Here is a 25,256-nt window from a genome sequence, read left to right on the forward strand (position 1 = left end):
GTCTCAGCTACTTAGGAGGCTGAGGTGAGAGGATAGCTTGAGCCCAGGGGGTTGAGGCTGCAGTGAGTGGGGATTGCACCATAGCAATCCAGCCTGCGTATGAGATCCTGTCTCAAAAAAAAAAAAGCAATACTCAGTGTTTTCCAAAAATCAATTAAGTGGCATGAGTCTTGGATTTCGTGCCCTGATGATGGGTTCCCGCTCTGGAGTGGGACTCTGCTCTCTGGCCTTTCCACCCCGCAGACACCTCCCACAGCCTTGTGAATAAGTCAGAGCTTTCTCTCCATCAAGCGGGGGTGGGCGTCTATAAATGATACAGCCCAAAGGAAAGCCTGGGCGGCTCTGAAGTGGTGGTGTTTCAAGTCTTGCTGGTGGTTAGTTTGCTATTTAGGGAGAGAATACAATAGAGAAATTGGGTCTCAAACCGTAATGCATGGGAACTAGAACTCTCTGCTCTGTTTTTAAATGGCTTCTGCTTCTCTTTGAATTTATTTGGAAACATGTCTGGCTATTTCCATATATTTGAGGGATATATAACTCCCAGGTATGGAGCAAACGTTGTCTCTCCGGCTATACCCATCAGAGCCTGCTTCACTGCCTAGCCCAGAGACCACCCTCAAACGCCTGAGGGGAAAGTCAATGGTTGAAGTGAGTGCTTGGGAGTGGTGGGACCGTAGAAAATGGTAGAAGTTGTGCTGGGTCCAAAGGGACAGCCCATGAGGGCCACATAGGAATGCGGGCCCAGTGTTACTGCCAATGATTTAAAACGCCAGTAAGCCGACATTCTATTAAATGTCCATTCATTCTAAACATTTCTTTCTTTTTTTTTTTTTGAGATGGAGTCTCGCTCTCTCACCCAGGCTGGAGTGCAGTGGCACAATCTTGGCTTACGGCAACCTCCGCCTCCCGGGTTCAGGCAATTCTCCTGCCTCAGCCTCATGAGTAGCTGGGACTACAGGCATGTGCCACCACTCCCGGCTAACTTTTTGTATTTTTTTTTTTAGTAGAGACGGGTTTCACCGTGTTAGCCAGGATGGTCTCGATCTCCTGATCTCGTGATCTGCCCACCTCAGCCTCCCAAAGTGCTGGGATTACAGGCGTGAGCCACTGCCCCCGGCCCTAAACATTTCTTTAAACACAATGTGGGTCAAAGCTCAGACCTTTCGCCCCAGCCATCCCAACCATCTGCAGATTTAGAGCACATGAAAACATGCGGCCTATACAGAGGCTCTGGCGATGTGGGTGAAATATTTGAATATTTAAAATAAGATGTTATGAACCAAATTGAGAGGAACAGATCTGTATTTGTCAGATAATTATTCATTTGAGCTTGAAAAAGCATGCACGTGTAGATAATCCACATCCAGTCAAGTGAAGTAGGTCAAGTTTCTTTCCTGAGTATTCTGCTTGCCAGGCACCTGTCCGCATGTCAGTCTTGGTCTGCCCACGATTTTTGTTTTCTTTCCCCTCTCCTTTGATCGCTGTTCCTCCTCATGCTCCCTGGCCAGTCCCCCGCCCTCCAGCCCTATTTTGCACTTCCTTGTGATCCCAGGAGAACTGTACACTTGCCGGGGTTAATTTTTCTGACACACACAGAGACCTAATTTGGTGATGTCATTAAAAAAAAGCACTCGTGTTAACCATATTTCACAACAAAGGCGCCTCAGCACTCTCACCGGAGGGGAAATTTTTTTAATGCACTGAAATAGGAAACAAGTGACGTGGCGAATACCTGGTGAACGGAAACAACTGTGCCCTTTGCCTTTCCATGCACTGATGAATTTCCAGCGGAGTGGGGCCTGCTGGTGGCTTCGCACAGCGAAAGTGCCGCCGGGCCCTGCTCCATGGAGACCTGATCTTCTCTCCCCAGAACTTCACATGGGAAATGATCTAGTCAACTGGGGCCCTGCTGAGTTCAGCATCAGCTCCCAGCCTGAATAGACTTCAGGAGCCTGCTGGAAGTGGGAGAAGGAAGGGTGGTCACAGGTGCACCCTGGGAGTGGGTGGCGAGGCCTCTTAGGTCAGTTTGCCCAAGTGTGTGCTCCTCCGATCTGAACTCCCAGTATTTGACTGTGGATTTGGCATAAAGGTATGGAGAGTGGCTCAGTATTTGGGGGCTCTTTGAATTACTGGTGACTTTGCAAAAGAAAAAAGTGCAGTTAAAGGGATTTCAGCCATAAGAAGCCTGACCTGGAAACCATCATTTCCTGGCATCTGGGGTTTCGAGGCAACACAGCTGTGGGTCCACCATTCCACACAGCCTGGATTAACCTGCATTGGAGGCCCCCTGCATAAAGTCATGGCGCATACAGCTCTCCAAAGTCACGTTGTGTGGATGCAGTTGCCCTGAGGTATAGGTACAAGCCTGTCATCCATTGCTAAGCACCCACAGCATCTCATCTCATTTCTGGCAAGATAATCAGGTTTTGATTGGCAAGATAATCAGGTTTCATTTTCAAGCCAGGTGTGGTGGCTTACACCTGTAATCCCAGCACTTTGGGAGGCCGAAGTGGGAGGATCACCTGAGGCCAGGAGTTTGAGACCAGCCTGGGCAACAAAGTAAGACCCTGTCTCAAAAAAAAAAAAAAAGTTTAAATTAGCTGGGCCTTTAGTCCTAACTGCTTGGCAGACTGAGGAGAGAGGACTTCCCTCAGGAGTTTGAGGCTTCAATGAGCTATGATAGCACCACTGCACTCCAGCCTGGGTGACAGAGTAAGACTCTGTCTAAAAAAAAAAAAAAAAAAAAAAAAAAAATCAAACTTGGTCCTCAACCTATGGCATGAATTACCATTTTCTTCAACAGGGCTAACACTGACTGCCTGCCATGTGCCAGGCTAATCTCTTTACCCTCATTCTTTCTCAATCCTTACAACACTCCTATACAATTAGGGCCATTTTATAGATGAAGTAACTGAGGCTCCGTGATGTTAAGCAATCTGCAGACCTCTCAGCTGGCAAGTGGCAGGGCTGCGAGCTGGAGTCAGGCCTGTCTGGCTCCAGGGACTTTCCCTTCTCCACATGATCAAATGTTGCCTTCTGGATATTTTTCATTTACTTCTTTTTTCTCATCCACTGACGTTCCACACTCCTGTGGCATGTTGCCTGCATTACTTCAATAGTTTCTGCTATTTTCCTTGCATCAGACCTTAATTCCCTCAACTCTCTGTCCCCCTCCATCCTCCCTGTCACTGCCCGAGGAATTCTCTCAAATATGTATGCCTCAATCACTCCCAGGCATCAGAGCCCACAGGACTCCTCAGTCCCTTTGATCGATCTCGCCAGGCTCTGTGTGCTAACCCTGGCCCCTCTCTGCTGCTTGCCAAGAGGCCCTCTCCGCATTTCAACCCAGGGACCACTTGCAGCCTAGAGTGGGTGTCTCCCTGCAAACCTGTGTCACCTACTTGTCTGGCTCATCTGCCTGTCTCGTCTGTTGTAACGCACGTGGTCTCTTTCATTTCCACAGCCCCAGCATAGTGCCTGGAAGTGGGACGTGCAGGCACTATGGAAAAAGGACTTGGGTGGTTCCGAAGGGAAACCAGGCAGTGGAGGCAGAGGCAGGGAAATAGAACCACAGTGAATGGATGAAACCTTCACAGATCTGTTGAACGACCTTTGATCTTTTATGTGCCTTGCTTGATTTGCTTTCCACTGAGGTCACCTGCATTTCTCTCAACCTATCCTAGCCCTCACCACAGCCAGTCTGAAGTCAGATGGCAAAGTTGTGGAGTGTTAGAAAAAGCAGTGGCTGGTGGAGCAAATGGGGGTTGGGGGAGTGGTGGGGACATGACTCCCCCTTGAGGGCCCTGCCCAGCTGTTCCACAGCAGCCTGGCTGGCCCCTTCCTAGGCAGCCTCTTTGTCTTAGCAGCGTCTTTCCAAGGTCAGCAGGCTCTTTCGCGATAAGAGCGGACATTGCTGAGCCCTGACTCTGTACCCGCCGGTGTTCTAGAAGAACCTGCACTTGATCCAACAAAGCAGAGAGTTCTTGGGTCCTTTTCTTTCCTTTTCCTTTCTGAAACTGTATAATAAACACATAAAAGTAAAAAATATTTACAATACCTTATAACAAATGCCAGATGCTATGTATTCCCTGTCTACTGGCTGGCTGTTTTGGTTTTTCTATTGAGATTTTGCTCTTGAGTGGTAGTAAAATGCCATTTTCCCTCTGTGATTCTATCATTAGTTTCCCAATAATTTCTTTAATAATAATAATATTTGGTATTTTAGAAGGTTTAGAGTTCAGAGCACTTTCCCCCTCATCATCTCACTTGATTTTAATTCTCGTCTACCTCATGAATAGGGCAGGAATCCTCACCCCCTGCGTACAGAAGGGGGACCAGAAGCTCAGAGAAAGAAGGGGCAAACTGAAGGAATCACTGGCAGCAGAAGGACATAAATCAGGCCCCAGATTCTCAGTTTGCCCTGTTGTGCACATCAACAATTCTTATCTTTTCATTACATTTGTTGATTTGGTTGATCTCATCAGAGACCGTCATCTAAAGAGTCAGTTGTATTCAGGCCATGCCAGAATGTTCTGTTTGTGGACACAGTGAGCTAAGGCGGTGCCTCTGGGCTCAAGAGAAACGCCGCAGCAGGGCAGGAGGCAGGACCATGCTGCCCATGTGTTAGCTCGTCTGCAGGGCCAGGCGTGTGGCGGGTTCCAGTCTCCGAGTGTGGTGGTAGGCTCAGCGCTGGGAAATTTCACGTCTCAACACATCTCTTGGGAAAAAGGACTTGGGTGGTTCTGAAGGGAAACCAGGCAGTGGAGGCAGAGGCAGGGAAATAGAGCCCCAGTGCATCTGCAAGTGTAGCTGAGGGTGCAGCGTGGTGGAAGCACTTTATAGTCTACACCAGGATTTCTTAAACAGGAGTCTGAGGATTGCTTCAAGGGGGAGAGGGGCAGAGATTGTTTTTTTTTTTTTTTAAAGAAGCAGATTCTCAAAGGGCTTCATTCATGTCCTCCCAAATATTGAGGACTCACTCTTTAGTAGGAATTCCATGAATAAAGGAATAACATATGACATCTGAAGTGGAGTTGTCCCTTATTATCCTGTTTGTTTTCAAGGTAGCCTCACAAATTCAAATGGCGTCCCCTGCACCCTTCAAACTCGCCCTGGCATTCAGAACGCTGCTATTCTCTGCTTGGAAGGGTCCTCGCCTGGCACAGCAAACTCCCATGTTTACCAGAATCCGACTCAAATCTCACCTCTGGGTGGTGCCTCCTTAGACCCCTGGGAAGACCTGGGTACCCTCCTCTAAGCCTGCCCAGCACCCTCTCTGTCTCTAACACCTGTCTCCCTGTCCTGTAGTGACTTGCTCACCTGTCACTATGTTGGAACACCTTGCTGTATTCATTTTCCCATCCCCAGCATTGATCTCTGTGCCAGGTTCACAGAAGGTGTCCAGGAGATCGCTGTGTGATTGACAGTCTGGAAGCTGGGCTATTAAGGGCAGTTGTCCAGCCAAATCTGAGTGAAACTGGGTCAGGATTTAAAGATGTGGTTAGTCTGATTCACATAGACTCTGTAAATGTCACTGAAGATTATCACTGGCATTTGGATGGTGTGGTCTCTGTGACCACAGGGCAGAAAATTCAATTATTCAGCACTTGCTGTATGCAAAGCACTCTACGGAATCCCATGAGTAGGAGGAAGTCTCAAAGAGGATGAAGACATTGCCCCTTCTTCCAGGAGATGTTTAAGTTCTATTTGATTGGGTCAAGCTCATATAAAATTCAAGGTTTTGAGGCTTGGTCTCATGATCAGACTAGCCAGCTTGGGCCAGAAGTGTTTTGCGCTTGGATACTCTCACAGGTACACTTCATATTCTCAAACTAAACATCTGGTAACACAGAGCAGTTGGCAAGATAATCAGGTTTCTTTTTGTAGGTCTTCGGAAGGAGAACAATTGGATAGTATGAGGGGATCATTTGCCAATTATAGATAGTAGCCCTGGAAAGCACTGGAGAGACCTGGGCCCTAACACGGGGGAAAAGTTCAGAAATTCATCGACGGGAGCGGAAGTTAGACACATTTTAATTTCACGTGCTGTCTTGAATACTGTGTACCACGGCAGCGTCTTTACTCGAGACTCAAAATCATTTGACTCTTCTACAAACTGGATTCCCATTCAAGATTTTCTCATTCTCCTCTACTGTGGATATTAGCTTGGAATAGATCATTAGCGTCCATATAGAATTTGAAATCTTTATTTGAAGTTATAACCGCTAAAAATGATTGTTAAAATCATGGTGTGTAGATTCAGATATGAGGTTCCCAGATAGCAAATTTAAGCCTTCTCTAACCACACCCCTTAAAGGGCCTCTGCGGACACCTCCACCCCCTTGTGAGACCCAGGAGTCTCTTCCAGAGTGCAGTAGCAGAGGAGTGGCTTCCCCGGGGAACAAATACTGCGTGGTGCACCGTGGTCCCGACCAGACACGCTGGCCCTCCTGGAGGCCTCAGGCATTACTTAGACCTTCAGCCAAGTCTCTCTTCTGTTTGGAGAGCTTGGGAAAGCAGTTTTCATCTCCTAATGGAAAATGAAAATCTGTCATCACCTTTCACATCATCAGCCTCCTGGAGCCCCCTAGTCCGTCTGACTGCAGTTATGTCCCAGATAATGAGGCTTCAAGCAAGCCCCCTAAGTGCACAGCGCTGCAGGCTCAGCCCTCTCTGCACTCCTCTTTCTTCCCCGCCTTCCTCTCTTCTGGATCTGGATCCCCCCACACCTGCTCAGTCACCAACAGCAACCTGCCGGGTATCAGCTACCCCACTCTGGGGTGGCGGTGGCTCGGGTGAGGACAGGGCTGTGCCTGCAAATGGCCCCCTCGGGCCTTTCTCCCTGTCCCATCGCTCCCTGCTTCTTTCACAAAAGTCAACATCACAGCCTGTAACCCAAAGGCTGATAGGATGTGCGGATAACAGCTATATAACCTTAATTCTCAAACGATGGGAGACAGCCAGGGAATTTCGTGTCAGCTATCCACTGCTGTGGCTCCGTGGAAATGCTTCCAGCACAAACAACCTGTGTACACTGCAGAACCTTTCACTCAGGAGGGAGGTCTGAGCACGGCTAGTTTTTGCTGCCTCGGAAGGGGTCAGGGCTCCCTCTGCAGGGAGCCCGTGGTTCTGCCGCAGCAGCGGAGCCTCCAGCGCCAGTCGGTGACCCTCCTGCCCATGCCTGGGAGGATGTGAGCTCTGGTGCCCCAGGCAGCCTGGAATTGTGCCCTGGGAGTGGGGCTGGGGCAAGGGAGAGGCTGCAGTGTCATTACAGGGATGTCCTCCTTTCCTGGAGGTCACTTTGGGCTTGACCACGGGCTGTCCACTGCCTGGCGTGGTCTCTGATTTGCTGCTCTCTGCGGACCCTTGGTTGTGCTCTTTCGGGCTTATCTAACCTTACTCATGCAAAGACCCGAAGCTCTGGCATTCCCCATATCTGACCTGGGATCCCTAGTCTTTCTCATTATCTGTGCTACCCCCTCCCAGAGTGTCCCGGGGAGAATCACCGCATCCACTTCCTGAGGTGGGTTTGATGAATGATGCAATGTGGCTATGGTGAGGGCGTCTGGCCTGTGGCAAATGCCCAGTAACTGGCTCAAGCTTTTGTTCTGCCTGGTCCCGCCTGGCTGGGAGCCTTAGGGAGGGATATTAATGCTTATCCAGTTTGGGCCAATTCAGTAAAGAAAACTTTAAACTTAAACAACCCTCTTAGATGGACTGCATTTTACTTTTGTGAATTGGGTTTTTTTTTTCCCCTGCTCTTTGGTTGTTTTTGGAGTATAATAACATGATGCCAAAAATACCTTGGTGATTCGTGAACAACCTGATGTTTTGCCCCTGGGCTGCCACGTGTCTGAGGACAAGCTGGGTGCTGCTTACACCTGCATAGTTCCTCCGGGCAGCAGGCTCACACTCTGCTGCTGTCATGTAAAGCACCCTAGAGATGAGATCAGCCAGGCAGGCTGAGGTTAGGCCTCTGTTCATGGAGAGGCTCAGTGCCTTCATGGGCTCCCTGGCAGCGGTTCAGTGTGGTGGGTTTTCACCTACCTGGTGTGTGGCCGTGCCTTGCCTAAAATCTTGTCCAGTCCAGCAGCTGGCACTGAGGAGCAGCTCTGAGCCAGGTTCCTGAGCTGTGGGAACAAACAAAGCAGGGCTGATCATTGTCTTGCTTGGTAGGAAACGGCAGCTGCACTTAAGGCACTCATGTAAAAAGTGTGTTCCTAAACAAAATGGAGAAAACCAAATTGTCTCCTTGTTATCCTCTGCTCTGCTGCACTGCCTGGAAGGGACTTACACCTAAATTCGGAATAAATACATTTATCAACGAGGTCCCAACTCTCGGACCATTGGTGAATGGCCAGGGATGCCTGATTAGATGATAACATAAGACAGTTCCGGCAGAAAGGGGCGGGCTGTGGACCCTTCTGAAGCTCCAGTGGTTGAACTACTGGATTCAACTTAAAACATCAGTCCATTTTTGCATTAAGTGAAAGCAGTAGTTGTGCAAATCATTGTACTCACACTGGCCGAGGAAGCACCAGGGACCGAAAAGGACAGGGTGGAAATCTCCCTCCCCAGCCCTCTCTTAGCCTGCTTGGTGTGATCAGGACTCTTGATTTCTGGGTCTCCAATGCAGTGACTCTAACTCTGAACATTGGCTGTGTTTCCAGCCCCTTTCATGTGTGGCTATTTGACAACCAGTAAGCAACACTTTGACTTCATTTCTGCAAAATAAAGATCACCATTGTTTTCTCGACTGTGTCCAGCTGTGTTTATTTTAAAGTACCTTGTTTTCCATTTTATTGAGAATGGCTACAGAACTCTGCCATATGCTCTGCATTAATGAGAGGGCATCTGTTCCATCCCATCGTGCTTGGTCAACATCTCACACACTCTGTTTACTCCTACTTTATAAGCAATAAGGAATCTCCAACAGATAATGGAAGAGTTGCTTCTTTCCAGACTGGAGGTGGCTTCGTGCAGAAGTGGAGAAGTGAGCACCCTCCCTGGCCCCTGTGAATCAGGTCTTCCTGGCCTGGGCTCATTGGATTTTAGTCTCATGTTAAAAGGACCCAATTCCTGCCAGGTGTGGCATTAGATTTCACTGAGAGTAGAAATCCCTAAACATCGAACCCCCTGATAATCAAATGCAAAAACTCATTCCAAAGACAAACAGAAATCATATTCATTGTCAAAAATCACATGGACCTTCCAGGATAGGAAAGAACAAGGAAGATGGTCAGGTTTTACCCCTCAGATGATCTTATAGGGTAAATGAGGAGTCAGAATACATATGAATACAAAGAGATGAACTGCAAAATCAGGCTGCAAATGATCAAGCTGTGGTGAATCAGGTAGACCAGAAAGGTCCTCTGAAGAAGCCGTGCTGGTGGGCTGGGCCAGGTCTCTCTCCAGCACGGTGCGCCCAGACCAGGTCCAGGACAAAGCTGGATGATTGAACTAGAGAAAAAAAAAAAAGACAACCAGGTGTGGCTTTTTGAGTGAAGAATGAGCCTCTTCTGTCTAAGATGCCCCATCTGTGTCCTAGCTAATGCCTAGCACCACCCTTATAAGGCAGGAGAATAGGGAATTAGGGTAACCAAGGGTTAAGGCATAAGCAAAGGAACAGCAGGTGCAGCCAGTTCTAGGCAAGATTAGGCAGCATACAGGCCACAACCTCACTCCTGTGATAACAAAACGGAAGTTTCCACTTCAGCCTCTGATTGGTTGGGGGCCCATCCATCATAGCGGGTAACCAATTGGAGGCCTCTAAAGGGAATCTAGGGGTGTTACCAAATTATTTCAGCTTAACAAAAACCCCAAAGAACATTCTAAATGGGGCTCTTGAGCTGCTTCGTTGATCGAGCCAACTCTCACTCTATAGAGTGTACTTTCACTTCAATAAACCTGCACTTTCGTTGCTTCCTTCCTTTGTTGCTTTGTGCATTTTATTAAATCCTTTGTCCAACACGCCAAGAACCTGGACAACTCACAGTCACGACTTCCTATCTGGTAACACTCATTCCTTTGCAAAATGTTTCTTGATCTCTGTTAAAAGGCAAGTACATGGTAAGGTGCTCTTATTCATGTACTCCTCCAGGTGAATGATTTGATGTCTTCCCTTCCTAAAACCAGGTTTTTATGGGAGAGGAAGAAGTGGGGAGTATGAAGACCCCAGGAAAAGAGTTTTTAAAGAGGAGGAGATCCAATTTCACACCTTTGAGTAGTCCAGCTCTGGAATCCAGTACAGGATTTTTGGAAGATTCACCAAGATCCATCTTTCCTTTTCCTGCTATTCTTTCCAAATAGGTAAAGAAGTAGCTGAGGGAAACGCAGCTTTGTGAGGGAAGCCTGGAGCGTGAGAAATCTGCTCACACTGGATTCTGCCTCGGGCTCGACAGAATGTCACAGCAGACCCGCGATGTGACAGGCTCACTGGTGTACACACGGCTGTGTCGGCCATGGCCCTGTCAGGTGGGTCAGGAAGGAAAGGCCCCCCAGTTCATACTTCTGAGTCATCGGTCAGATAGGAATCACGTTCTTTTTTTTTTTTTTTTTTTTTTCACTCACACAGCTACCCTGAAGCTTCAGATCTACTTCCTGGCTCAGACCACCTGCAACACACTGGTTTGGCATCTAGCGGGTTGTGCTTGCAGAACAGCAGGCTGGCTCCGTGCACCTGCTCAGTGGGGCTGGGCTTTAGCAACCTGCATTGAGGCTGCTCTTCTTAACTTTTCTCTAACTTGCTTCATGAAAGTTAATTCTGCTGGGACCCCACGAGGCAGCGGAGAGCCCACTCTGCCCATGATTGGTGCCCTGGGCTGGCACGCAGAGTTTAATGGAGGAGCCCGGGAGAGAGGGATGCCTGAGAACCAGGGATGTGGGCTGGAGCAGTGCCACCTCCTCTAACTCACCCGCAAGCCCAGCCAACCGGCTAAACCTTCCCCACAGAGCCTCAGTCTCCTTATCTGTAAAATGGGTATGCCTTGTGTTTTCCCCTGCGTTTCCTTGCTCCCCTTGGGAATATGACAGTAGTTGAAGTCAGCTTTCTAAGCCTTGTCTTTTATGAAATGTAATGCTTTATTTTCTCGTGAAAAGAAATGAAGCTATCAGAGACCAGGCGGGAGATTTTTTTGAGCGTAGAGTGAAGAGTTGCTCTTCCTTTCCTGCCCTCAAAATGTTCCTACAACCTTGCTCTTTAATGGGAAGTATTTTTTTTTTCAGACATAGTATTAGAGTGATTCTGTATATCTAACACCTTCATCAAACCCTCTGAGAAACTGGGAACTTAGTGACTTGTGCCTGGTTCAGCTGTTTTCTCCAATGGATAATGTGTGCCTAAGGACAGGGACCACATTCTCTTACTCAGTTTTCTATCCCCAGAGCCCACCTAGAACAGAGCGGGGTGCTTTGTAAGTGTGTGCGAAGTTTCTGTTGAATGAACAAATTAGATGATGTCATGTTCCAGGAGGGCGGGAGCTGCATCTGCTCTGCTCTCCCTTTCTCTCCCAGCCCACGGCTGACCGGAGTCGGTGGCTGATAATGTGACTTCTAATGAGTTCATTCACCAAATACTAAATAAGCAAAATTACAAGTGATTTTCTTATTTTGAGACAGGGTCTCCTTCTGTCTCCTAGGCTGGAGTGCAGTGGCGCAATCAAGGCTCACTGCAGCCTCGACCTCCCTGGCTCAAGCGATCCTCCTGTCTCTGCCTCTGGAGTAGTTGGGAGTACAGGCACACGCTAACATGCCAGGCTAATTTTTTTTTTTTTAAATAAATGGAGTTTTGCCATGTTTCCCAGGCTGATTTTGAACTCCTAGGCTCAAGCGATCTGCCCACCTTGGCCTCCCTAAGTGCTAGGATTACCAGTGTCAGCCACTGCGCCCAGCCCACAAGTGAAAATTTTAAACTATATTTTGTTAGAGAGAGAAGAGGGAACCCGAGGCCTGGATAACATGCAAGATCTTCATAAGACTTCATAGCAACAGCATTCACTTGTCATATTTTGATGATCAAATTGGAGAAAATACCTCTTAAATTCAAACCTAGGGGCAAGGTAACATTTCAAATAGGATTTTTTTTTCCCTCTGTCTATAGTGGATATTTAAAATTTTTCCATTCATTCTTGCACACCTACAGATTACCTGGCACTTGTCCAGTCTTTCTGCAGTCAACATCGCCCAGATTCCATGCAGAACCCTTTGCAGACTCCTGAGGAGGTACAGACAAGGAGTGTCCCTGTCCTCATGGTGCTACATGAAAAGGTACAGACAAGGAGTGTCCCTGTCCTCATGGTGCTACATGAAAAGGCAAGTGACCCAACAGGCAGCATTGGAGAAAGTGCCTAACTGTGGAAAGGCCAGTGGGAGAGGCTCGGTGGAGGAGGAACTTGCTGGACTAGAGAGGTCAGGGAAAGCTTCTTGGAGGAAGTGAGGTATGAGCTGGAAGTAGAAATACCAGGAAGCCCAGGGCAGGCTTGGGAATGGGCCAGGCATGCTCAGGTCCCAGGGCATAGAGTAACAATCTGGCTGGAAGAAGGAATGGAGGAACAAGCTGATAGGAGGGTGATTTCATGTGGACTGGACCCCATGTTCAGGAGGTGACCACATAAGCCAGGATGGGTGGATAGAGTTAGCTAATCCTGGAAGAAATCATGGAATAAAATTAAATATATGCATTGCTGGCTACAGATCCAGTTCCTCCTTCCCGGGTCTCTGTGTCCACCCTTCTTGGGGGCCATCCCACACCTCCCTGCTACTGCCACAACCTTTGCCCTTTCTAAGCAGGTGCTGGGTAGAGAAAGAGGTACAGTGGAACTTGCCAAATGTCCTCGCCGTGCAACCTCTTGCAGAGGGCCATGTGTGATCTTCAGATCCCAAGATTTTCTTGATATTTATAAAAGCACCTTTGCCTCCATTCCCAAACTGAATTCTCCATCCCTGGGCTCCATCTTGAAGGGAAATGATCACAGCTGTGGCGATTGTGTGTCTCCTACTGGTGAGAGCTGGTAACTACAGCATCTAATTGGCCGTTTTCCAGACCTCTGCAGGGTAAGAGCCTGTGGGGAGCTGGTGTTGAGGTGGAATTCCAGCTAATATTTACTGGGTGTTTCCTACATGCTAGGCACTTTCCTACAGACTTACAAAGGCTAACTCATTTTCTCCTCATAGCAATCCTATGAGGTCAGTACTGTTGTTGTCCTTTTTTAATCCATGAGGAAACTGAAACACGGAGAGGCTAAAAATGTGCCTAAGATTCCCAGGATCAGGGAAGGCAATACACATGTTTGTTGTTGCAAACAAAATTGTGAGAAGGACCAGCTTTAGGGAAAGGCAGAGTGTGCCTGCTGTCACAGCACTGACTTTTAGCATTCGACTGCCTGTCTAGATTCTAGAGTTCTAGGAGTTCTTACTGATATAAATTGTAACATGGTGATCCTGGTGATTTAAAGAGTTAATGTTAAAACTCAATCATTTTGAAGGGTGCACATCATTTGACTCAACAAAATTTAAATACTTACTATCTGTAAGTTCCTGGCAGGATACTATAAAAATGAAAGAGACTGTTACAAATAACAAAGTTAAATTAACTCACAGTGTGGTGTCAGTGATAAGACATGTATAGAAATAATCATACTACAAGAGAGAATGTTCTAGAAGAATGCTATTAATGCTATGGAAACATAAGGCAGAGGCCATAGTGCAGATCTTAGAGGACTTCCTGGAAGGGTGACTTTTGAGCTGGGCTGATGGTGGAGATGGTTGGGAGGGGCAAGGGAAGGTGTGTTTTGGTGGAGGGTGTAGTGCTGGCAGAGGCAGTGAGGCAGGAAAGCAGAGTGGTGCTTGGGAGGCCAATTGAGGATTGAGGCTGCTTGCAGCTTAAGTGAGGGCAATTAGGGAAGACTAAACCTAAGGATGGGCCAGACCTCTAAGGAGTTAGGGATTTAAAATTATATTACATATAGTGAAAGTTTTGGATCAGGAAGGAGGGTCCAGAAAACAATAGATACATTTGTTGGTGCAAACAAAATTGTGAGCAGGACCAGCTTTAGGGAAAGGCAGTGTACTTACATGTCAGGTAACATTTGCAAAGACTCTCAAAGAGTGCAGTAAATAGAACATCCATACACCTGCCAGTGCCTGCCCAGTCTGAACAGCTTACCTGTCTGCAAACCTCCTTCCACTCCCTGCCACCAGGGCTGGTATTTCAACATTAAACACCAGGTGAGACAAGGGCTTGGATATGAAGAAGGCCCCAACTAAATTGTATATACAGCCATGAATCACTCAAAAACAGGGATACATTCTGAGAAATGTGTCTTTAGGTGACTTTTGTCATTGTGCAGACACCACAGAGTATACTTGCACAAATCTAGATGGGCCAGACCACTTCACACCTAGGCTATATGGTAGACCCATTGCTCCTAGGCTACAAACCTGTACAACATGTGACTGTACCGAATACTGTGGGCAATTGTAATGCAATTGTATTTGTACCTATATGGACAAGGTACAGTCAAAATACAGTAGAAAAGATTAAAAATGGTTCACCTGCATAGGACACTTAACATGGAGCTTGCAGGTCTGGAAGTGGCTCTGAGTGAGCCAGTGAGTGAGCAGGGAGTGACTGGGAAGGCCTAGGGCACTACTGCACACTACTGTACACTACCATACACTACTGTAGACTACTGCACACTACCGTGCACTACTGTAGGCTACTGCACACTACTGTACACTACCGTACACTACTATAGACTACTGCACACTACTGCACACTACCATACACTACTGTAGGCTACTGCACACTACTATACACTACTGTATGCTACTGTAGACTACTGCACACTACCGTACACTACCGTAGGCTACTGCACACTACTGTACGCTACTATAGACTACTGCACACTACTGCACACTACCGTACACTACCATAGGCTACTGCACACTACTATACACTACTGTACACTACTGTAGACTACTGCACACTACTGTAGGCTACTGCACACTACTATACACTACTGTACACTACAGTACACTACCGTAGGCTATTGCACACTACTATACGCTACTGTAGACTACTGCACACTACTGTAGACTACTGCACACTGCTATACACTACCATATAGTACTGTAGACTACTGCACACTACTGTACACTGTACACTACTGTACACTACTATACACTACTGTAGACTACTGCACACTACTGTACACTACTGTATACTGCTGTAGACTTCCGCACACTACACTACTGTACAATCCTATAGACTCCTGTACACTACTGTAGACTACTGTACACGACTGCACCCTACTATAGACTACTATAGACTTTATAAACACTGCACACTTAGGCTACACTAAATCTATAAGTTTTTTCAATAGTAAATTAACCTTAGTTTACTGTAACTTTTATTACTTTACAAACTTAATTTTTTTTCACTTTTTGACTCTTTTGTAATAACACTTAGCTTGAAACACAAGCACGGGGTACTCCTGCACAAAATTATTCTTTATATCTTTATTCTATATATTTAAATGTTTTAAAATTTAGTTTTACTTTTTAAACATTTTCATTTAAAAACGAAGACACAAACATGCACATTGTCCTAGGCCATCACGGGGTCATGATCATGAAGGCCGGAGTAGGGAGCAGGAATTTTTCAGCTCCGTCATAATCTCATGGGGCCACTGTTGTATATGTGGCCCATTGTCCACTGAAACGTCATTATGCGGCCCGTGGCTGTAGTTGCTTTGCGGGAAGAGAGGAGGCACAGACAATTGATAATAATGATAATACCAGCTGGAACCTCTTAGTCACTTGCTCTGGGCTGGGCACGGCTCTTGACATGCTCTATGGCAGATCTCATTTTATCTTGGCCATAACCCTTCAAGGCAGGGACTCTCATCATCCCTGTGTGACACAGGAGGACACTGAAGCCCAGAGAGGCCAATTGACTTACTCGAGGCCACACAGCTAACAAGCGGAGAGCTGGAATTCACTCCCAGGTTGCTCTGTGTGCCTGTCCTGTGGGTTAATGCCCAGACCAGATGCTCAGCTCTAACCGTAGAGGATCCACGGAAGCAGGGCCTGAGGACACAGGACACAGGTCAGGCCTTTTTCAAAGGACGTAGACAGAGACTGTCCAGAAAAGGAGGAGGCTCTTTGAAGGGAGTGAAGTCCTGGGTGAATCACAGAGCACAGAGGCTCCCTGCCTGTGTCAGCCTGGGCCAGCTTCCCAGGGAGCGTGGCCTGACCTGGCCTCACCTGAGAACCTGTGTGTGGCGTGTGAGCAGTGTGTATGCGGTGTGTGTGTGCTCACCGTGTATACAGCAGGTGTAGTGTGCAGTGTGTGTGCATGCAGTGTGCGTGCATGCAGTGTGCGTGTGCATACAGTGTGTGCAGCTAGAATATTACCCACTCTGGCTTTGAACCGCACTGGAAATTTCCATGTGAATAATTTCTTTTCCCAGTCACCTCATGAATGAACTCATTAAGTCATGATTGCAGCTAAAGCCTCTCACAAGATTATTTACCAGCAGGGCCACTAGCTGGGAAAGAGAAGGAATCACCAGGCAGAGCTCTTGCTGCAGGGTGGTGTCCCTGGCCCACCTGCACGAGTGGCCACCCTGCCATAGGGGCCCATCTGACAGCGTCTCTGATGACAGGAGCTCAAGAGCCTCCCACTGCCTAGTTTAGAAATGCCTTTACTTACATCATTTTAATCTTCACAAGGACACTGAAAGGCAAACGTTTTAATTGACATTCAACATACAAAACAACAACACTAAGCAAAAAGCCAACCTGAGATTCAGAGAGGTTACTTGGATTGCCTGAGGTCACACAGCGCAAGTAGGCAGTCGCCTAGGTCCTATGATTTACTGGATTCTTCTAAACTTCCTGTATTTAGATACTATTCCTATTACCATATGACCCAGCAGCAGTTACCCTTGGTATACCCCAAGATAATAAAGAACGTATGTCTGGCCAGGCGTGATGGCTCATGCCTGTAATCCCAGCACTTTGGGAGGCTGAGGTGGGCGGATCATGAGGTCAAGAGATCGAGACCATGTGGCCAGCATGGTGAAACCCCGTCTCTACTAAAAATACAAAAATTAGCTGGGTGTGGTGGCACATGCCTGTAGTCCCAGCCACTCAGGAAGCTGAGGCAGCAGAATTGCTTTTACCCGGGAGGTGGAGGTTGCAGTAAGCCGAGATCATGCCACCGCACTCCAGCCTGGCAACAGAGCAAGACTCTGTCTCAAAAAAAAGAAAAAGAAAAAAAAAAAAGAACATATGTCCACATAAAGACTCTTGTGCATGAATATTCACGACAGCCTTATTCATAATAGCCAAAGTGGAAATAATACAAATGTCTATCAACTAATGAGTGGATAAGCAAAATGTGGTTTATCCACACATTGGAATGTTATTCTGTTGTAAAAAGGGATGAAATACTGATTCATGCCACAACATAGATGAACCTTGAACCATTATGCTAACTGAAGAAAGCTGGACACAAAAGGCACATGTGATATGATTTCATTTATGTGAAATATAAATAGAATAGGCAAATCTGTGAAGACAGAAGGCAGACTAGTGGTTGCCAAGGGCTCGAGCATGGGGGCAGTGCAGACAGACTGCTAATAGGTATAGGGTTTCTTTCTGGGGTGAGAAAAACGGTCTGGAATTAGATAGCAGCGATGGTTGCACAATGTTTTGATATGTGAATTTTATCTGAAGGAAAAAAAGTAAAAGTAAAACAAAAGACAAAACCAAAAACCTGTATCTCTTGCATGGCATTGAATTCTCTACTCTCTGCCACATTGTCTGTATTTCTACCCATTAGAGAGCCTTTGAGTTGAGAAATGCCTCATTGAATAGGCAAATGTCTTCCCAAAGCTATTAGTCGTTTGCACCTTAGAGTGAATTGGTTCGGAGAGGTTCTGTTTCTCCCAACCACCGAGAGAAAGATGCTTGGGAAGGAGGATGAGCTGCTGGAAACCAGCTCTGAGGAAGGAGCCAGCGGGAGCCATTAGCTTGGCTAATGTGGGAATCCTGTTGTCTCTACCTAGGCCAGTGGCCTGGGCTCTGGGATCTGGGCATAGAGGTGGAATGGTCAGGTGGCCCTTACCTCAACGGGTTCCACGGGGTCATCCCCAGGGGGCATTGTTTGGCTGTTTTGAGCTGTCTGCTTTTCCTCTGCTAAGTCACAAAGTAATTCATCATAGACTCTTCTTTTGTTATTTATCCCTTTTAGGGATCAGGACAGCATAGTGTGTCCTCTGTCTTGAGAAGTTCGCATCCAGCTCTGCCATGGACCAGCCATGCTCATGGGTGAGTTACTTAACCTGTCTGTGCCTCAGTTTCCTGTCTGTAAAATATCAGTAATAATAGTTCTTATTACCCAATTGGTCTGGTTGATAGAGTATTACACAAGTTACTCTAGGTGGAGTGCTGAGATTGCTTCTGGCCACTTCATGAGGGCTGTGTACTTGATATTATTAACAATTGTAAGACATTTAATGAAGACTCTGAGTGGTCGGTTCATCTTTTTAAAAAGCTCATGGAAGGAATAAATTCATTCTCTGTTTTCTTTCAGATTGCCTCTCATTTTGCTACGGACAGGAGACAGGAAAATACTGGGTAGAAGAGGGCGGTTCCCGACAAAGGCCCCAACCTCAAGCCTGAAGACCCACGACCCTAAATGAGGACAGCCATTTCTGATTTTGTGCCCAAAAATTTGCCTTTTGGCCTGCCACACCCAACATCTTGCCCCTATATAAACCCGAGACCTTAGCGGGCACACACACAATCAGCCAAATGTTGGGATTAGCAGACCAGTGGACCAGCGGACCAGCAGACCAGTTAACGGTGGAACAACGCAGCAGAGAAAGAGAGAAGAGGAGGGATGTCTGAATGCCAAGGGGAATTCGGCCGCGGGCAGTTAGAAAAGTCTGGCTGCTGGGCGGCCCGACTCTAGGGGAAGACCACCTTCCCACTCCATCCCCTGTTCTGGCTCCCCATCCATCTCCCTGAGAGCCACCTCTACCACTCAATAAAACCTTTCATTCATCCTTTGAGCCCATATGTGATTTGATTCTTTCAGGACGCTCAGCAAGAGCTCAGAATATAGAAGGTTGTCTCAGTGGTCCCCTGCCCTTGCGATAAGGCAGAGGGTCCATTGAGCTGATTAAGACACAAGCCCAGATGGCAAATCTGAAAGAGCTTTATAATACACACCCACTTGGGCTTGGGGAGTCACAGACACCCATTCCTAGATGCTGCCGTGGGGCCAGAGCCCAAAAGGGCTTTCCCTGGCCTCTGCACCTGCCCATCTGCATGCTCCCCCCAGGGTTTTGAGCTGTAGGCGAGCCACACCCCTGTTGCGCGTCCTGCCAAGGGGAATTGGGGAACTCTACTGTTTCAGTTTCATGTTCCCCATATTTGTCTGTTAGGCAGAGACTGCTTTTGAGTAAATTTCTTACAACTAACAAAAGAAATACGTTCTACTTTAAATTATATCATAATTCTGTGCCCCAATGGAAATAAAGTTTCCAAAGGAACAACACTTTTATAATTTTAAATGCATTTTAAGAAAAACAGTTCCATGGGTTGAGGATGCAGGAACGAGTGATTCTGAGGGCAAGGCTGCAGTTCTCAGGCTTGGTTAGCCGTTTCTATGAAGTGAGAATTTTGGCCTGAGAACCCAGGTTGAACCTCAGATGTGAGTAGATAATTCCAAATCTAGGAAATGCAAGTCGGTTTCCTTCAGAGGAGTTGGGAGAGCAGGTGACTTCAACCTCCAGCTCAGTAAGTCAGGGACCCGAGACTTTTCTGAGGTGCTCAGGGAAGGTATTTCACCCAGTTCTGCGGGATGGTTGCTGTGTGTGTGGAGGGCTGAGGAGCACCTCCCATGGCTTGCCAGTGCCTTGACAATTGGAGTCAACTCAAGAAGGAACGCCAGGGCTCTGTACCTCTGGAAACTTGGCAGTGAGAGATGAGCAGAGACATTCCTGAGCTGTCATTTGGCAACAGTTCCCCATGGAGCATGGCCTTGCTCTGAAATCAGCCTGTGTCTCCAGTGAGAAAGCCTCTGGCAAAATATTGCTTCATTTCATGAAGTCACAGCCTGGGGGATCTTTCTCATTCCGGAACAATCTTTCTGAAGCACCACAGGCTGATTCTATTTCAATCAGCAACAACTGGATTTCGGGCAACCACCCAAGGAACCCTCTTTATTGATATTTCAGGCCTTTAAGTTATATTACAGTCATATTCCGGCAGATATGATATGTATCAATAAGTCATGCTACAACAGGACAATGATTTTCTAAATATGTGGGAAATCTTCACTGATTCATGGAATCGGGGGGTCGCTGGGTTGACCTTGTGCCCCAAACCATCAGAAGTGAAGATGGGTTTGCTAAGTCAGGGTGTCACCAGTGACTGCCTCTCTGTTACGCAAATCACTACATACTTAATGCCACGAGCTAGCCAGTTCCTGCATTGAGTCTGGGTGGCTACGCATCAGTGGAAAAGCATTGCTGATATCAGTCCCTCATGAGATGGTGCCCTCGTGGCCAAGCAGGAAACAGAATCAAGCACTGCATGTGGCCCTGACTTGGTGTGGGGATGGTGGCCTCAATGAGTTAGCAAGAGCAAGGGGCAGGTCATGATGTGACCCACAATGATTAGCAATAACGAGGAGGGGCCCTGGCTACCAAGAGGAAACTGACTCCTGCTCAGGGACTGTCCCTGTTGATGCCATGCCAAGATCATTCCATCCTTTGGCAACAGACCTGGTCTTGGACAACCACCAGCCCATGAAACTCTTTCTCCCGTAGTCTCTTTGGCTTCCCAAGGGAGCAAAGCACTAATCCTAATCTTTCAAATTGCTGTGCCTGGGACCAGCTAGGGGGAGACACCAAGTTTCCGTCTCAGGGTTGCCTGTGTCTCTCTGGGGGGAGACAGACCTCATAGAGGAGTCTAGAACAATCCCATCCCTAATCTTTACCAAAATGATAAATGACCAAAAACATCTCCGAGCCACCCTTGGAAAAGAAGATTATTTCCTCCTTCTCCAGGAGTCTCTGCCTGCTTCTAGATCCCTGGAATAACCCTTATTTTTAATTCATCAGGATTAAAAAGAAAAGAACTCATTATGGGGTAATTCTGAGTTTGGGCGTTAGCAGAGAGCAGGGTGGGACTGGGTACAGGAGCATTCTTAGTGCTCATGGCCCTTGCCCAATTCTATTCCTCTCTGTGCTTCTTCTCATCCCCTCCCCAAGCCCATCAGGTGCTGAAGAGGCCATGGGAAAACCCATGCTCCCTAGTGGCCCTCCAGTGGCTCTCCTTGTGGACGCTGTGGCCTCTTTGTTATAAGCATTATAGGCAGTGCATGATAAGAAACTTAACTATGAAGGGAAAAGCCAGATATAAACATTTAAAATGACAAAGATACTGCAAGACAGGGCAAGAATCTCTCCCTTGATATCTAGCAGTGAAAGAGGAAGGAGGATGCCCACCTTGGGACAGACCGTGAGGCCAAGGCTGAAGGTTAAATGAACTCCCTAACTGCAAACTAGACCAGCCCCCATATGTCCTTTAGCTGTATCTTCTCTTCCAAAATCTTATACTGTAGCAATTTTAGGTCATTGTCCTTAGCTTTGAAATTGTTTAAAGAAACTGAAGGAATAGCAAAAATTTAGGTTGCTTTTTCTTCTGCCTGAAATTTTAGAAGATTCTTCAAAGAAGCCTGTCTGAACTGAATACCCCAATATCACAGGCCACATACAACTTGTATTTATCTGTTCTCATGCTGCTATAAAGAACTTCCCAAGACTGGGTAATTATAAAGGAAAGAGCTTTAATTGAATCACAGTTCCACAGGGGCTGGGCAGGCCTTAGGAAACTTACAATCATGGTGGAAGGGGAAGGAAACACACCCTTCTTCACATGGTGGTGGCAAGGAGAAGTGCAGGGTGAAGCGGGGGAAAAGCCCAGAATAAAACCCTCAGATCTTGTGAGAACTCACTCACTATCAGGAGAACAGCATGGAGGCAACGGCCCCTGTAATTAATTTACCTCCTGGCAGGTCCCTCCCATAACATGTGGGGATTATGGGAGCTATAGTCCAAGATGAGATTTGGGTGGGGACACAGCCAAATCGTATCACTACTCTTGCTTTTATAAGATTAAAAATGGTGAACTCTAACAAATGATTTTTTTTTGCAAATTTTTTTTTTGCAAAGCAGTTAGTTCTTAGTCACTAATCAATTTATCTACTTTTTTCAAAAAAACCTTGTTCATGTAAAGTGACCCATTTCTCTCACCTACTGTGTCTCATCTGAGAGCAAGCCTTGTTGATTTCTTCTTCCGAAGTATCTCACAAGCTCCCAGTTCTCTTGGCTACCACCCAGGCCCTCATCTCTCCTGTGTGGCTTACTGTAAAACAGCAAGCTCTCTACTTCCTCCATCCCACCCTCTCAATGGCAGGCAGGTTTTCATTTTAAAGCACAAATCCAATCATGTCACCTTCCTGTGGGGGAGTGGCTTGTCATCACCCATGCCATAGGTTCCCAGCAGTTCACAGGGGAGCACAGGCCTTTTGTCCTGGAACCCCCTTTGTTTTGTGACCCCAGGTCTGGGTCAGGATATTCCCCTGGCTTGCAACACTCTTCCCTGCCTAGAAGACCCAGCCCAGTGTCATCTCTTCTAGAAACTCCCCTGTTTCCTCAGCGGGGAGGCCTCCTTCTCGGTCCTCTCCTGGCCACTTTGCCCTCCATGTTAGTGCTGACCACACTGCACTGGCTTCGATTCCACATTGGTTTCTCCACTGGCCGTGAGCTCTTTCGTAAGGGCAGCTCTGTGTCCCACACGCAGCACACATCTGACCAGTGCTTGTGGCATGAATGCGTATCAGAATGACAGGGAAGTTGCTAAATGTAATTAAAAAGAAAAAGCAACTTATGAAACTTCTGTTTCCAAGAGTGCAGGACATGAGACAGGAGCTTCTCAGTGGGCCTGTTTAAAGTGAGTGGTAGGCTTTTGCTATTCCTACTGGTTACACAGACCCTTCCCCTTCTTAAGTCTTGAAGAGCAATTTGGTTTTCTGCAACAATTTCTGCTCTGAATTTGGGCATGCACCAGAGGTTGTTGCTGCCCCTTTAAGTTTGGCTGTGTGGTTTAAATGTAACCCTCTCATCCTTCCTCCTTCTCCTTTGCTCCAAGATGGAGGGTTTCACAGAAAACACTGCGGGGATCTTATAAAGAAAGAAGTCCATCCCTTAAACAAATTAAAGTTTCATTTCATTTGACAAATGTTGAATTCATTTAACATCAACAAATACTGACGATTTCAATTTACTGTCATTTGTAAATGAATTAACAAATTATAATTCATTTAACATCAACAAGTATTGTCTGGGCCGTTACTCTTGTATACTGACTTGTAATTGTTCTTGATCCTAAACTAAATTTGGATCCTTATGTTCCTGAAAATATGAAGACTTGTTATTTTTCTTCTATCCCAATGTTTCTTTCTAATGAAACTATAAAATCACTTTGAGAACCCTTTATGACACTATCCCGTATGATTTACTGCCAGCACTTAGGAGATGTGACGCCAAGCCAGAGAAGTGGAGGACACAAACATGGAGGAAAGGTTTAAATTCTTGCTTAGAACACAAGATCCCAACTCCCAGGCTCAACAAATGTCCCTTCCTCCTGCTATTGCTTCAGTTTGAGATTTCTAAAGAAATATTTCTTTAAGAACTTAAAAGAACTGTATGTTGATTTTAGAAAAATATAGATAAAAAGAAAAAAATCTACAAAATTTCTACATCAAAGCTAATCACTGTCAGCATTTCAATGCAGCTCTTTCCAGATATTCATATAAACATATTCTTCTAGACCTCTATATAAATTAAAATTGGATCAATCAATATACTTTTTTTGAATAACGGTCTTTAAGTTGGAGACTATTTTTGTCCCCTTTGGGATGGAGGTTTGCTGTACTCTATCTCCCTTAACATGTGAGGGCTCAACCTACTTCAGGCTGAAATCTCCCTACTTACCCTGTGCTTTGTAGCAGGGACACCACAGCTTTCCCCCTTGGGTGCTCTGGGAGGCTGGGGACCAGGCATGGTGGTGCCACTCCAAGAGGGCCAGGAGCTGAGCTTAGAGTCTCAGGATCACAGTGGACCGGAGCAGGCAGAACACACGTGGGCCATTCCAGACAGAGGTGCCCTGAGAAGGGCTATTCCAAGCAGAAGACACATGTGCCTGTGCTCACTCATTGGTGTGCTCTCTCTCTGCCAACTAACTAGAAAGTAGCAAGTTCTCTTTTCTTCTCTCTCATCCTAAACTTGGACTGATCTGCCAAGTTCTTAGGAAATTCATGCCACAAGGGTCTATTTTCAGCAAATGTGACTTGTAGGGTTATCCTTGAGCAAAACAGTTCAGCCAAGCACCCACCTCTCTTTGCCGAGGCTTTGGTCACATGTTGGACGCTTACCCAGGGGCACAATATGGAGAAGTGATTGGAAAGCTGGGCTCTCTTCCCCCACATGGAGCGCAGTGGCTCCGCGAGTGATGGCTTTTTATAGCCTGCACAGGTGGTTGTGCTGCAAGCCCCTTTCTGGAAGGCAGAGTGCTCTGCTCCTCACCCCTGCTGGGAGAAACCTGTTAAGAGAGAAGAGAAGCTCAAATAAATGACTTGCCTTCTCCTGGGAACTGAAAGTGCATTGACATTTTCAAGGTTTTCCTTACTGGAGATCAGATATTGGACTGAATCCATTCTAACAGGTAATCAAGAGAAAATATGTATTCTTTAAGAATTTTCTATCAGTAACAGTGTTAGTCTTTGAGAAGAGCCCTCAGAATTTGACTTAGTTGCAACTTGAAAATTAATCTGGTCCATACTGCTCATTTCCTAAATAAATGAAGACTCAAAATCAGTAATTTCTTCAAGGTGTCGAAGTAGCCAGATTTTGTTTGAACTTTATTTATTTATTTATTTGTTTTTTTTATGGAGTTTTGCTCTTGTTGCCCAGGCTGGCGTGCAATAGTGTGATCTTGGCTCACTGCAACCTCCACCTCCGGGGTTCAGGTGATTCTCCTGGCTCAGTCTCCCAAGTAGCTGGGATTACAGGCATGCGCTTCCATGCCAGGCTAATTTTGTATTTTTCTTTTTTTCAGTAGAGATGGGGTTTCACCATGTTGGTCAGGCTGGTCTTGAACTCCTGACCTCTGGTGAT

General features: G+C 46.6%; 2 protein-coding genes across 5 annotated transcripts in view, besides 3 other annotated features; one reads left to right on the forward strand and one right to left on the reverse strand.

The window, feature by feature from the left end:
• Nucleotides 1-24,331, reverse strand: part of LOC112267968 (uncharacterized) — a 59,629-nt gene extending 35,298 nt beyond the window's left edge. The window contains exons 1-2 of the mRNA XM_047419645.1: nt 24,075-24,331; nt 8,047-8,129 (exon numbers count right to left, since the gene is read on the reverse strand). Coding sequence (XP_047275601.1) covers nt 8,047-8,129; nt 24,075-24,143 — 152 coding nt within the window. The 5' untranslated portion in view covers nt 24,144-24,331. The remainder of the gene's footprint in view (nt 1-8,046; nt 8,130-24,074) is intronic.
• Nucleotides 9,837-19,084, forward strand: LOC124901449 (uncharacterized). Of its 4 annotated transcripts, none has more exons than XR_007059837.1 (5): nt 9,837-10,473; nt 10,574-10,978; nt 12,140-13,050; nt 18,257-18,333; nt 18,599-19,084. XR_007059837.1 is itself a non-coding variant. In XM_047419647.1 (5 exons), the coding sequence occupies exons 2-5, from the start codon at nt 10,975-10,977 to the stop codon at nt 18,705-18,707; spliced, it is 315 nt and encodes a 104-aa protein (XP_047275603.1). In that variant the 5' UTR covers nt 9,837-10,473; nt 10,574-10,974; the 3' UTR covers nt 18,708-19,084. The 4 variants fall into 4 exon arrangements, 2 of the variants coding, with proteins under 2 accessions (XP_047275603.1, XP_047275602.1); XM_047419647.1 differs by having other exon boundaries at nt 12,140-12,264; XM_047419646.1 differs by lacking the exon at nt 10,574-10,978 and having other exon boundaries at nt 12,140-12,264.
• Nucleotides 10,605-10,674: a silencer, noted in NCBI's record as "silent region_17748". NCBI's record gives its function as "represses an Ori minimal core promoter by ATAC-STARR-seq in GM12878 lymphoblastoid cells {active_cell/tissue: GM12878}" and the evidence as "EXISTENCE:reporter gene assay evidence [ECO:0000049][PMID:35858748]".
• Nucleotides 19,425-19,494: an enhancer, noted in NCBI's record as "active region_25386". NCBI's record gives its function as "activates an Ori minimal core promoter by ATAC-STARR-seq in GM12878 lymphoblastoid cells {active_cell/tissue: GM12878}" and the evidence as "EXISTENCE:reporter gene assay evidence [ECO:0000049][PMID:35858748]".
• Nucleotides 19,916-20,123: a silencer, noted in NCBI's record as "fragment chr6:159538123-159538330 (GRCh37/hg19 assembly coordinates)". NCBI's record gives its function as "represses an EF-1alpha promoter that drives an FKBP-Casp9 reporter gene in an ReSE screen in K562 erythroleukemia cells {active_cell/tissue: K562}" and the evidence as "EXISTENCE:reporter gene assay evidence [ECO:0000049][PMID:32094911]".
• Nucleotides 24,332-25,256: the final 925 nt, after the last annotated feature.

The sequence above is a fragment of the Homo sapiens genome, chromosome 6 (genome assembly GCF_000001405.40).
Source record: "Homo sapiens chromosome 6, GRCh38.p14 Primary Assembly".
Taxonomy (NCBI): Eukaryota; Metazoa; Chordata; class Mammalia; order Primates; family Hominidae; genus Homo; species Homo sapiens.